The 13096-nt window shown below is 43.6% G+C and overlaps 1 protein-coding gene across 3 annotated transcripts in view; it reads right to left on the bottom strand.

Moving 5' to 3' along the window:
- Positions 1-13096, bottom strand: part of KPNA6 (karyopherin subunit alpha 6) — a 68508-nt gene that overhangs the window by 43998 nt on the left and 11414 nt on the right. The window contains exon 1 of one of the 3 annotated variants that reach the window (XM_024446166.2): positions 6351-6374. The exons of the other annotated variants lie outside the window; for them this stretch is intronic. The gene's annotated coding sequence lies outside the window, so the exon portion shown is untranslated. Of the gene's footprint in view, positions 1-6350; positions 6375-13096 lie in introns of those variants that run through there. 3 annotated transcript variants of the gene reach the window in all.

The raw sequence follows: 13096 nt of genomic DNA, 5'->3' as shown, positions 1-13096 counted from the left end.
CCTGTGTTCCCACTTTGGGAGGTTGAGGCAGGCAGATCACTTGAGCCCAGGAGTTTGAGACCAGTCTGGGCAACATGGCAAAACCCCATTTCTATAAAAAATACAAAAAGCCAGACATGGGGGCATGTGCCTATAGTCCCAGCTACCTGGGAGGTGGGAGGATTGCCTGAGCCCTTGCGGTTGAGGCTGTAGTGAGCTGTGATCACACCACAGCACTCTAGCCTGGGCAACAGAGTGAGATACTGTCTCAAACAAAACAAAACAAAACACTTTAATGCTTTAAAAGACACCACTGGGCCGGGCATGGTGACTCATACCTGTAATCCCCGCACTTTGGGGAGCCAAGGCGGGCAGATCACCTGAGGTCAGGAGTTCAAGACCAGCCTGGACAACATGGTGAAACTCTGTCTCTACTAAAAATACAAATATTAGCCGGGTATGGTGGTGCATACCTGTAATCCCAGCTACTTGGGAGGCTGAGGCAGGAGAATTGCTTCTACCTGGAAAGCGGAGGTTGCAGTGAGCCGAGATTACGCCACTGCACTACAGCCTGGGCAACAGAGCAAGACTCCGTCTCAAAAAAAATAAAAAATAAATAAATAAATAAATATAAAAAATAAAAAGTAAATAAAAGACACCATCAAGAAAGTGAAAATGTATCCTCATTTGTATAGTATCCCTGCCTGTCACACAGGAGACCAGGCTGGATTCCCTGATAGGGAGACAGAAAATTAGAAGAAAAAAAGGTGGGGTGCAGTGGTCAAGCAATCTGCCTGACTTGTCCTCCCAAAGTGCTGGAATTATAGGTGTGGGCCACTGTACCTGGCCAAAAGTTTTAAATTTTAAGTATATATACACATACATATATATATATATACACACGCACACACAACTCCTTTGTTGTGTGTGTATATATATATACACATACATATATGTATATATGTATATATATGTGTGTGTATAGACTTAAGATTTAAATATATATACACATACATATATGTGTGTATGTATGTATGTGGTTGTATGTGTTTTCAGTGTCTTTTTAAATTTTTAAATCTTTTTTTACTTTAAAAAATAAAAGTAGAGACAGGGTCTCACTTTGTTGCCCAGGTTGGTCTTGAACTCCTGGGCTCAAGTGATCTTCCTGCCTTGGCCTCCCAAAGTGTTGGGATTACAGGCATGAGCCACCATGCCCAGCCTTTGGCATCTTATCTAACAAATCATTGCCTACTCCAAAGCCATGAAGATATACCCCTAAGATTTCTTCTTTTTGAGATGAAGTTTCGCTCTTGTCGCCCAGCGGGAGTGCAATGGCGCAATCTCGGCTCACTGCAACCTCCACCTTCCAGGTTCCAGTGATTCTCCTGCCTCGGCCTCCCGAGTAGCTGGGATTACAGACGCCCGCCACCAGGCCTGGCCAATTTCTGTATTTTTAGTAGAGACGGGGTTTCACCATGTTGGCCAGGCTGGTCTCGAATTGCTGACCTCAGGTGATCCATCCGCCTTGGCCTCCCAAAGTGCTGGGATTATGGGTGTGAACCACTGTGCCCGGCCCACTATTTTTTCTTATAGTAATTTTATGGTTTTAGTTCTTACATTTAGGTCTTTGATCCAGTGAGTTAATTTTTTGTGTATGATGTGAGGCAGGGGTCCAAATTAATTCTTCTGCATATGTTTATCTATTCTTTTTAGGCATTATATATAGCAATTAGCACATTAAGATAATAAAAATAAATCAATGATCCACATGAGCCCTTTCTTAATGAACTTCTTTGAGATGCCTGTGACTTTTTTTTTTTCTTTGAGATAGAGTCTCACTCTGTCGCCCAGGCTGGAGTGCAGTGGTGCCATCTTGGGGTTCAAGTGATTCACCCACCTCAGCCTCCTAAGCAGCTGGGACTACAGGCATGCACCACCATGCCCAGCTAATTTTTGTATTTTTAGTAGAGACAGGGTTTCACCATGTTGGCCAGGGCAGTCTCAAACTCCTGACCTCAAGTGATTTGCCCGTCTCGGCCTCCCAAAGTGCTGGGATTACAGGCATGAGACCCTGCGTCTGGCCTGAGATGCCTTCAATGTTAATGACTTTTGTGATTAAATCAACTTATCAAACCAACTGACTTGCAGTATACAAGTTCCTTTCCTGTGTCAAGTTACTTATTTTCCATGACCTGCTGGGAGAGGACCTCTGTAAGGCACCAAGGCAGGCAATGATCACAATGCTTTGCCAAGAAAGTCACATTTGTGTCCTCTCTACTAGCTGTGAAGCAGTCTTCTCAAGTTCAGTCTAGAATGCTTTTCAAAATCACTGGCCATGGTAAAAAAAAAAAAAAAAAAAAAAAATATTTATCTACTAAATCCAGACTAAAAACCAAGATATTATATTTGAAATATCTTTCAAATACCCCAAAGTCAATCTCTAATATCTGTAGAGGGAGGCATTCTCAGGCAAAATTCATATTTGACTGATAATTGATTTAGTAAGGATTTGATTATTAGCTTAGACTCACATAGAATTCTCATTTTAGAGGTAGGCAAACTGAGGCATAACTTGCAGAAGAACCAGCTAATAAGTGGGAGAGATTAAACCAGGTATTTCCATGACAGCCAATGTTTCCAGCACTACATATTCCTTATTTGACAGCATACCAACCACAAGAGGACTCCTTTGTTGTTTCCTGGAAGGAGTGTGCTCCCAGGAGTGTCAATGCTGCTTCTCAATTCCACCACGTTTGATTCAATCTCTCAATTGAGGTATGATCCAGTTCTTGCTGTGAACAAGGAATATAAGCCTGGGAAACATAGTGAGACCTCGTCTCTACTAAAAATAAAAATAAAAAATATTGGCTGTGCATGGTGGTGCACACTTGTAGTCCCAGCTACTTGGGAAGCTAAGGCAGGACGATCACTTGAGCCCGGGAGATCAAGGCTGCAGTGAGCTATGATGGCGCTACTGCACTCCAGCCTGGGTGACAGAGCGAGACCCTGTCTCCAAATAAAAACAAAACAACACAACAACAAAAAAAACACAAATATCAAATGATACAAATACTAATATGCAGAGAAACAAAATTATAGGGACTGGCAAGTAGTTAGGTAGTCATTTGAAGGCTGTCACCTCAAAGGAAAAACAAAAACAACCGCATTTGAATCAAACAGATTGCTTGAGCCCAGGAATTCAAGACCAGCCTGGGCAACATGGCGAAACCCCACCCCTACTAAAAAAAAATACAAAAATTAGCCAGGCATGGTGGTACATGCCTCCCAGCTACTAGGGAGACTGAGGTGGGAAGATGGCTTGAGCCTGGAAGGTAGGTAGAGGTTGCAGTAAGCTGACATCTCACACTGCACTCCAGCCTGGGCAACAGAGCTAGAGCCTGTCTCAAAAAAAAAAAAGAAAGAAAAAAAAGAGGAAGGAAGGAAGGAAGGGAGGGAGGGAGAGAGAGAGAGGGAGGGAAATATCTAGTATTGACAGAAGGTAGCTGTGCTGGATGGACCACCAACAGGCACATTGGAAGTGGTGTGGTACTGGTGAAAAGAGCTACAAAGACAGATCTAATTCTTAGTCTTGCTACTTAATAATTGTGCAACTTGGGTATTATTTATCTGTATCTTAATTTTCATACCCTTACCCAGACTATCTCAGAGTCACAGTGAAGACTGAATGAGAATATATACCCAAGTACTTTGTAAACAGTAAAATGCTATGCTGGTAAAGTGGGTTAGATTTGAAGATGGCTTTTCAAAATTCCTGAATTTCTCTCAGAGATTCATGACCAGGAAATGTTGCAAACGAGAAAACAGTTTGAAACAGATCTGGCAGCATGAGGCTCTCAGGGTGTTATGTGCAAGCCTGTCAGAAGTGCCAGTCACCACAACAATGGCAGAGGCTCTTCTTCTACTGGACAATTGGGTCAGTCCACAATGGGACCATAATAAGGCTGCTCATATTCTGGTAGCATCTTCACTGAACTGGGCTGAACAGTAATCACTCTAGGAAACAAAGCTAAATTTATAAACTAGGTGGTTTAGCTAAAGGCCACTGGGGGAAAACTATCTCCTGTACACATGACTATATATCCAAAGCTCAAGGTCTAAGGAAAAAAAAAATGTGTATATATATATGTGTGTGTGTGTGTATATATATATATATATATATATATATATATATATATATAAATACATATATAATATAAAAAATATATATATTCCTAGTTCTTCTAGTTTGCTAATCCTAATTCTCTCTTAGGATTTACTAGTTCTTTGGCCCTTGAGTGTATATATAAATATGTAAACACAATGCTCAGATCTACGGAAGGGAGGTAAGAGGTGGAGGGGAGACACAGGAGAAGACTGGGATAACTATAGTCCAAACAGTTTCTCCAAAAGAAATTTTCCAGCGATCTCATTTGAAATAGAATCAGGTGGCTCTTACCTTTCTAGGAACACTTCACTGCCACTACCACTAGGTACCACAAGGGACTAAAACGAATTAAAGTAGGAAAATGAAAGAGCTCAATTTCCATTTAAGCCAGCACAAAAATATTCACTGAATAGCTCCTAAGCACTTGCATTGTGTGTGTGTATGTGTGTGTGTTGCAGATAACCAAATGGTTATCTCCAATCTCAAACAGGCACTGTGTAATTGTTTCTACCTTCAGGAAGCTTTACAACTTAGTTTAGACTCACAGCTCTAAGAATACAAAAGATAATGAATGTAACTGTACAATGAGTTCAGAGAGTGAGAGTGAGAACTCTCTTTACTGAGTGGGTAAGGTCTGAAGTGGTCTTTGAAGGCTAGATGGTTAATATTTCTGAAGGGTTTGGGGCACAAGACCAGTTCAGTTAAAGAGGCATAAAAACAAAGGTCCACACAGCAAAATGCCTCTGAGATAGAATAGCAAAACGGCTGGTTACCTGGCCTCTATTCTGCAGTACCCTCCACCCACAACTCGTCTTCAGACAAAGAGGGTTCTGCATTGTCTGTCAGCTGAATTATAAAAATCCCTCTGATTAGCTCTTCCTTTTAGCTCTTAGCAACAATACAAGAAAGGGCCTTTCCAACAGCCCTTCTGACAAATTGGAAACAGGGATTTCTCTAACCTGTATGTAATTCATCAAAATGAGGGAGTTAGATTTAGGAGGCAATATTCTAAGGCCCCATGTGAGAAAGGCCCAGGGTGAAATGGGAGAGAAAAGCCAGGCTGAAAGGCCACACAAAGAATCCTCTCCACTCCCAGAAGACATGCCATGAACAAACATCCAATGTTCACCCTCAAACTCCATCAACTTGATCCAACATGATGTAGTGAAAAGAGCACTGATTTGGAGGTCAGGTGAACTGAGTTCCAAGCCCAACTGTATAATTGTGGGCAAAGTACCCACTATCTTAGTCTTGCTTCTGCCTCTCTAAAACAGGGGTATTTCTCATGGCGCAAGTCTTCGGAAAGCAATAAATAAAATAAAATGGGCACAATAAACTTTATAGGGCCCTGTAGGATTAAGGAGGTAATGTGAAAGTATCTAGGGCCTAAATGCTGAATCAATGGTGTTCCCTTTTTCTTCTCACCTCCTGTAGTGAAAGGCCTAAATTCCTTATAAGGGAAATTTTCAGGAAGTTACGGTCAAAGAAAAAAACCATTATTTTCTTGCTTTCTATTGAACAGGTGGTTTTTCCTTTTCCTTCCAACACTCAGTTCTTTCTCTTAATCTTTATCCTTCCATTCTGTCTTCATTCCCTTGAAAGCTACACTTAAGGAACCAATGACCAGGGGTTTAAAAAAGGGCCTATTTCCCCCTTTACTTCACCTCAAAGTGGACAATTCCAATCATTACTCATTAGAAAATTATAGCCTCTTGGGTGATTTAAATATTGATGACTGTTCAGATGCAGTGACTCACACCTGTAATCCTAGCACTTTGGGAGGCTGAGGCGGGTGGATCACCTGAGGTCAAGGGTTCGAGAGCAGCCTGGCCAACATGGTGAAACCTCGTCTCTACTAAAAATACAAAAATTAGCCAGGTGTAGTGGCAGGCGCCTGTAATCCCAGCTACTTGGGAGGCTGCGGCAGAAGAATCACTTGAACCCAGGAGGCAGAGGTTGCAGTGAGCCAAGATCGCACCATTGCACTCCAGCCTGGGCAAAAGGGCAAAAACTCCATCTCAAAAAATAAACAAACAAATGCTGATGACTTCTGCAATCTATACCTAACACCTAGAGGGAACATGGGTTCCTTCCAATCATGTCTGTAAGTACCTCAAATGGGGGGTGGGGGGGTGGGGAAGCATCTTCTTCTCCATAAACCGGTTCCTTATATATTTCTCTTAATTCATGGTCCACAATTCCTTACCTGGAATTCTGAAATCAAAGGGGCTCTCAGGGCCAGGCACGATGGCTCATACCTATAATTCTAGCACTTTAGGAGGCCGAGGCAGGAGGATTGCTTGAGGCCAGGAGTTTGCAACCAGCCTAGGCAACTAAGCAAGACCCAATCTCTACAAACAAACAAACAAACAAACAAAATAAAAAGAAAAAAGAAAAACAAGCTCTGAAAATAGGACAGGTTTTTTTTTTTTTTTTTTTTTTAGTAAATATAGTCTCAAAACACATTTGGCGGCAAAATCTGAACCTCACATGAGATTATTTATAGTCTTTATATATATAATCTCAATTAATTTTCAACTGGATATTTTTGCTACAGAAACATTCATAATATTTGACTATACAGGGTTCTATCCCAAACCTCACTGGAGGTGTTATACAAGTTATATGCACCATAATGCCTTTCTAAAATTCAAAAAATTAGGATTCTGGAACATCTGGCATGAATAATTTCTTAAAAGGCATACACTCTCAACGGGGGCAATATCATACCCAAAGGGCAAAATAGGTTTGTCGGCGAGGGAGAAAAAAAGTTAAGACGTTAGAATGGTGCGTAGCCCTCCAAAGCTCAACCTTACCCAACAAAATCTTACTATTACATGAGCAGGACTGACAGTGACTTCATGGAAGGCAGCCAAAATATATGCAGGATCTATGCTACAAAATTATGGTGACCAGATGGCCGTGACTGGGGAACTTTCTCTTGATTGATCGCTGGATCTCGATATGGCAAGAGATGGCCTGTGCAGGCCTGTTGGCTGCCTCATGAATGTTATTTATGTTTTATCCTCAGTGGATTGTGTGACTTGGGCTTTGGTCATTATCAAGCAAAAGTCTAAAAACTCACTAAATAATTTTTAATTGTTTCAAATTGTTTTACTTTTGTTGGATAAATTCTAGTTTTGAATGATTTTTAAAGTTTTGATTACATTGTTTTTATACAAACTGCCAAACTGGATTGTAATTTGATAGAATTTATGTAAGCAAGTAAACTGCATTAAAAGTTACAAAGCAAATACAGCCATAAAAATTAAGTTAAGACCAGGTGAGGTGACTCAGGCCTGTAATCCTAGCACTTTGGGAGGCCGAGGCGGGTGGATTGCCTGAGCTCAGGAGTTCGAGACCAGCCTGGGCAACACGGTGGAACACCATCTCCACTAAAATACAAAAAATTAGCTGGGCGTGGTGGCATGCGCCGGTAGTCCCGGCTACTCAGGAGGCTGAGGCAGGAGAATTGTTTGAACCTGGGAGGTGGAGGTTGCAGTGAGCTGAGATTGCGCCACTATACTGCAGCCTGGGCGACAGAGTGAAACTCCGTCTCAAAAATAAATAAATAAATAAGTTAAACGCAAACAGCTCTTAAAAAAAGACGAGGCCGGCCGAACACGTTGGCTCACACTTGTAATCCTAGCACTTTGGGAGGCCAAGGCGGAAGGATTGCCTGAGCTCAGGAGTCTGAGACCAGCCTGGGCAACACAGTGAAACCCCGTCTCTACTAAAATACAAATAATTAGCCAGGCATGGTGGCGGGGGCCTGTAATCCCAGCTACTCAGGAGGTTGAGGCAGGAGAACTGTATGAACCCAGGAGGCAGAGGTTGCAGTGAGCCGAGATCGTGCCACTGCACTCCAGCCTGGGCAACAGAGCGAGAGACTGTTGGAAAAAAAAAAAAAAAAAGATGAGGCCTCACTATGTTGCCCAGGCTGGTCTTGAACTCCTGGCCTCAAGCAATCCTCCCGCCTTGGCCTCCCAAAGTGCTGGGATTATAGGCGTGAGCCATCTTGTCCAGCCCAAATAGATTTTTTTCTTTTTAAAGACAGGTCTCACTCTGTTGCCCAGGCTGGAGTGCAGTGGTGTGATATTGGCTCACTACAGCCTCTACCTCCTAGGCTCAATCTATCCTCCCACTTCACCCTCAAAAGTAGTTGGGACTGCAGGTGCATGCCACTACACACCGCTAATTACTGTATTTTCTGTAGACACGGGGTTTGATCATGTTGCTCAGGCCGGTCTCAAACTCCTAGGCTCAAGCGATCCTCCTCAACCTCCCAAAGTGCTCAGGAGTTTGAGCTTAACCTAAAAATTTTGGGTTAAAAATTTTTAACCTAAAAATTTTGTTTAGTCATTCCTTTTTTTTTTTTTTTTTTTTTTTGAGACAGAGTCTTGCTCTGTCGCCAGGCAGGAGTGCAGTGGCATGACCTCAGCTCACTGCAACCTCCACCTCCCAGGTTCAAGCAATTCTCCTGCCTCAGCCTCCTGAGTAGCTGGGACTACTGGTGCACACCACCACGCCCAGCTAATTTTTGTATTTTTAGTAGAGATGGGGTTTCACCATGTTGGCCAGGATGGTCTCAATCTCTTGACCGCATGATCCACCTGCCTTGGCCTCCCAGAGTGCTGGGATTACAGGCGTGAGCCACTTGGCCTTTTTTTTTTTTTTTTTTTAAGACAGGGTCTCACTCTGTCACCCAATATGGAGTGCAGTGGCATGATCTTGGCTCACTGCAACCTCAATCTCCGGGGCTCAAGCAATCCTCCCACCTCAGCCTTCTGAGTAGCTGGGACTACAGATGCATGCTACCACACCCAGTTAATTTTTTATCTTTGGTAGAGACAGGGTTTCACCATGTTGTCCTGGCTGGTCTTGAACTCCTGACCTCAAGCAATCCACCCACCTCAGTCTCCCATAGTGCTGGGATTACAGACATGAGCCACCATGCCCCGCCCTGTTTAGTCTTTCTTAACCATGCATTGAATAAAAACTAAATTGTACACTTACTCTTATGTATAAAGCACAGACATGGTACATAAAAAGATACAGAGTTTATCTCAGTGTTAATATGTCATAGGGCAGGTACATTAGGGGGAAAAAAAGGTCTAAAAAGTTTCCTTAGGAAGGTGATTAAAAAAAAGTTGAGAAACACCACGCCCGGAAACACTGGATTACTGATCTGTACCAATACCTTCAAAGTTTTTCAACCCAGAAACATGGGAATAATCTTTGACAGTTCTGTTTCCCTTAACTCCCACCCCACATCCAATCACATCCAATCAGAAAGAATGGCCAGCTTTATTTCCTAATTATTTCTGGACTCTGTGTCTTTTTCTCCATTCCTACTGCCATTGCACGAATTTAGGTCTTCATAATCTCTTGCCTAGACATTATAAGAGCCTCATCAAACTGCCTTTTTGCTCCTTACACCCAAACTTTTTTTTTTTTTTTTTTTGAGATGGAGTTTCGCTCTTGTTGCCCAGGCTGGAGTGCAATGGCACGATCTCGGCTCACTGCAACCTCTGCCTACCAGGTTCAAGCGACTGTCCTACCTCAGCCTCCTGAGTAGCTGGGACTACAGGCATGCACCACCACACCCAGCTAATTTTTTGTATTTTTAGTAGAGAGGGGGTTTCTCTGTGTTGGTTAGGCTGGTCTCCAACTCCTGGCCTCAGGTGATTTGCCTGCCTCGGCCTCCCAAAGTACTAGGATTACAGGCATGAGCCACTGCACCCGGCCCACCCAAACTTCTTAAAACAGCTTGCCTCTTCTCTCTCCTTTTTTCTTTAAAAATGAGAAAGGGTCTCGCTAAGTTGCACATGCTGGTCTCAAACTGCTGACCTCAAGTGATCCTCCCACCTGAGCCTCCCAAAGTGCTAGAATTACAGGCATCAGCCACTGTGCCAGGCCTCTCCTCTCTCATTTCTTAGCTTACTTAGCACTTCCATGCCATCAAAACCGTCTTTGCACAGGCCACTTACCAAGTACATGATGCTAAATTCACTAGACATTTTCAGTCTTTTTTTTTTTTTTTGCTTGTTCTCTTGGCAGCACTCAATTCTGACAACCACTTCCTTATTTTTGAAATACTCTCTTTCTCTTGGCTTTTTTTTCGTTTTGTTTCACATTTTGTTTTTTGAGACAAAATCTAGCTCTTGTCCCCCAGGCTGGAGTGCAATGATATGATCTCGGCTCACTGCAACCTCTGCCTCTTGGGTTCAAGCGATTCTGTTGCCTTAGCCTCCCGAGTAGCTGGGATTACAGGCGCCTGCCACCACGCCCAGCTAATTTTTGTATTTTTAGTACAGACGGGGTTTCACCATGTTGGCCAGGCTGCTCTCGAACTCCTGACCTCAGGTGATCCGCCTGCCTCGGCCTCCCAAACTGCTGGGATTACAGGCGTGAGCCACCGCGCCCAGCCTCTCTTGGCTTTTTTGTTTGAGTCGGAGTGTCGCTCTGTCACCCAGGCTGGAGGGCAGTGGCACGATCTCAGTTCACAGCAACCTCTGCCTCCCGGGTTCAAGTGATTCTCCTGCCTCAGCCTCCTGAGTTGCTGGGATTACAGGTACACACCACCACGCCCGGTTAACTTTTGTATTTTTAGTAGATCTGGGGTTTCACCATGTTGGCCAGGCTGATCTCGAACTCCTGACCTCAGGTGATCCACCCATCTCAGCCTCCCTAAGTGCTGGGATTACAGGTGTGAGCCACCACACCTGGCCTCTTTCTCTTGGCTTTTAAGACACCAAGCACTCCTTGTTTTCTTTTAATTCTGACTGATGTTTCCTTCCTTTCTGCACATCACAGCTGATCTACCTTGGCCAGCTTTTTAGCCCAGCTCTCATCACATTTTTCCTGAGTGTTGATGAATCACTCCATAGTTTTAGTTGCCATGTATAGAGATAAATAGATGATCAAACCTCTATCTCCATTCCCAGGCCTCACTCTTGAGCTCCAGACTTCTACATTCAACTGATTTTTGAACAACTTCCCTGGAGGTCAGAGAATCCTCAAAATGCACAAATTTAAATTCAGCATCACTATCCACTCTGCTCTCAAAGCAACAGGCATAGGAGTCATGCTTAATTTTTTTTCCCCTTGGCTTCAGCCACCAGATGAAATCAATAACCAAGTCCTGATGATTCAAATTCCTAACTCTCTTATTCCCTACCATTACCATCTCAGCTGCTGCCATCATCTCCTGCCAGGACTACCACATTACTCAAAGAGCTCCTAGGTACGGCCAGGAGCAGTAGCTTACGCTTGTAATCACTCTGGGAGGCCGAGGGAGGCAGATCACTTGAGGTCAGGAATTCCAGACCAGCCTGGACAATATGCTGAAACCCCATCTCTACTAAAAATACAAAAATTAGCTGGGCATGGTGGCACATGCCTGTAATCTCAGTTACTCAGGAGGCTGAGGCAGGAGAGTCGCTTGAACGCTTGAACTCAGGAGATAAAGGTTGCAGTGAGCTGTGATCGCGCCACTGCTCTCCAGCCTGGGTGACAGAGCAAGACTCTGTCAAAAAAAAAAAAAAAAAGAAGGAACTCCGTCTGGGTGTGGTGGTAATCCCAGCACTACTGTGGGAGGCCAAAGAGGGAGGATCACCTGAGGTCAGGTGTTCAAGACCAGCCTGGCCAACATGGCGAAACCCCGTCTCTACTAAAGATACAAAAAATTAACCGAGTGTGATGGCAGGCGCCTGTAATCCCAGCTACTTGGGAGGCTGAGGCAGGAGAATCTCTTGAACCCAGGCGGCGGAGGTTGCAGTGAGCTGAGATCACGCCACTGCACTCCAGCCTGGGTGACAGAGCTATACTCCATCTCAAAAAAATAATTAATTAATTAATTAAAAAAATTAATTGGCTGGGTGCAGTGGCTTAAGCCCATAATCTCAGCACTTTGGGAGGCTGAGGCGGGCAGATGGCCTGAGGTCAGGAGTTCGAGACCAGCCTGGCCAACATGGTGAAACCCCGCCTCTACTAAAAATACAAAAAAAGTTAGGGAGGCATGGTGGTCCATGCCTGTAATCCCAGCTACTTGGGAGGCTGAGGCAGGAGAATCGCTTGAACCAAGGAGGCAGGGCTTGCAGTGAGCCAAAATCACACCACTGCACTCCAGCCTGTGCGGCAGAGCGAGACTCCATCTCAAAAAAAAAAAAAAATTAACATTTAAAAAAATACATATAATTTTGTAAAATACAGAGACTACGTAATATTTCATAAGATACACAGAATATTAATTGAAGTAACATTTACAAATAAGACAGACAATTCTCAGGCTATATTTGGCCTCAAATATCTTTTGTTAATGTTTTCAGATTTTGAAAGTTAGCTTGTAACCTTTACAAAGCAGTAAGTATTATTTAAAAATCCAGGCCGGGCGTGGTGGCTCACACCTGTAATCCCAGCACTTTGGGAGGCTGAGGCAGGTGAATCACGAGGTCAGAAGTTTGAGACCAGCCTGGCCAATATGGTGAAGTCTACTAAAATTACAAAAATTAGCCAGGTGCAGTGGTGAGCGCCTGTAATGCCAGCTACTTGGGAGGCTGAGGCAGGAGAATTGCTTGAACCCGGGAGGCGGAGGTTATAGTGAGCTGAGATCGTGCCACTGCACTCTAGCCTGGGCGACAGTGCAAGACCCCATCTCAAAAAAAAAAAAAAAAAAATTCCAGATTTCCAGCTTCAAGAGGGAGAGGAATTGTGGAAAGGATGCGAAATCAACAACACTAGAACCACATTTCCCCATGGCAACAATTGGCTGGAGCGTAGCAGCCAGGAAATAGGGTTGTCCCGTTCATCTAACAGTCTCCCTTTGGTTTATTTCATAAAATTATTCACTAGAATATAAAATCTGGGACTTCACCAGAAAGAGGTTTTGTCTGTTTTGTTAACCACTGTATTTCCAGGGCCTAGAAAAGTCCCTTGCACATAGTGGGCACT

Source organism: Homo sapiens, chromosome 1 (genome assembly GCF_000001405.40).
Source record: "Homo sapiens chromosome 1, GRCh38.p14 Primary Assembly".
NCBI classification, from domain to species: domain Eukaryota; kingdom Metazoa; phylum Chordata; class Mammalia; order Primates; family Hominidae; genus Homo; species Homo sapiens.
Note: the sequence above shows the minus strand (reverse complement) of the source record. Positions and strands in the feature narration are given on the sequence as shown.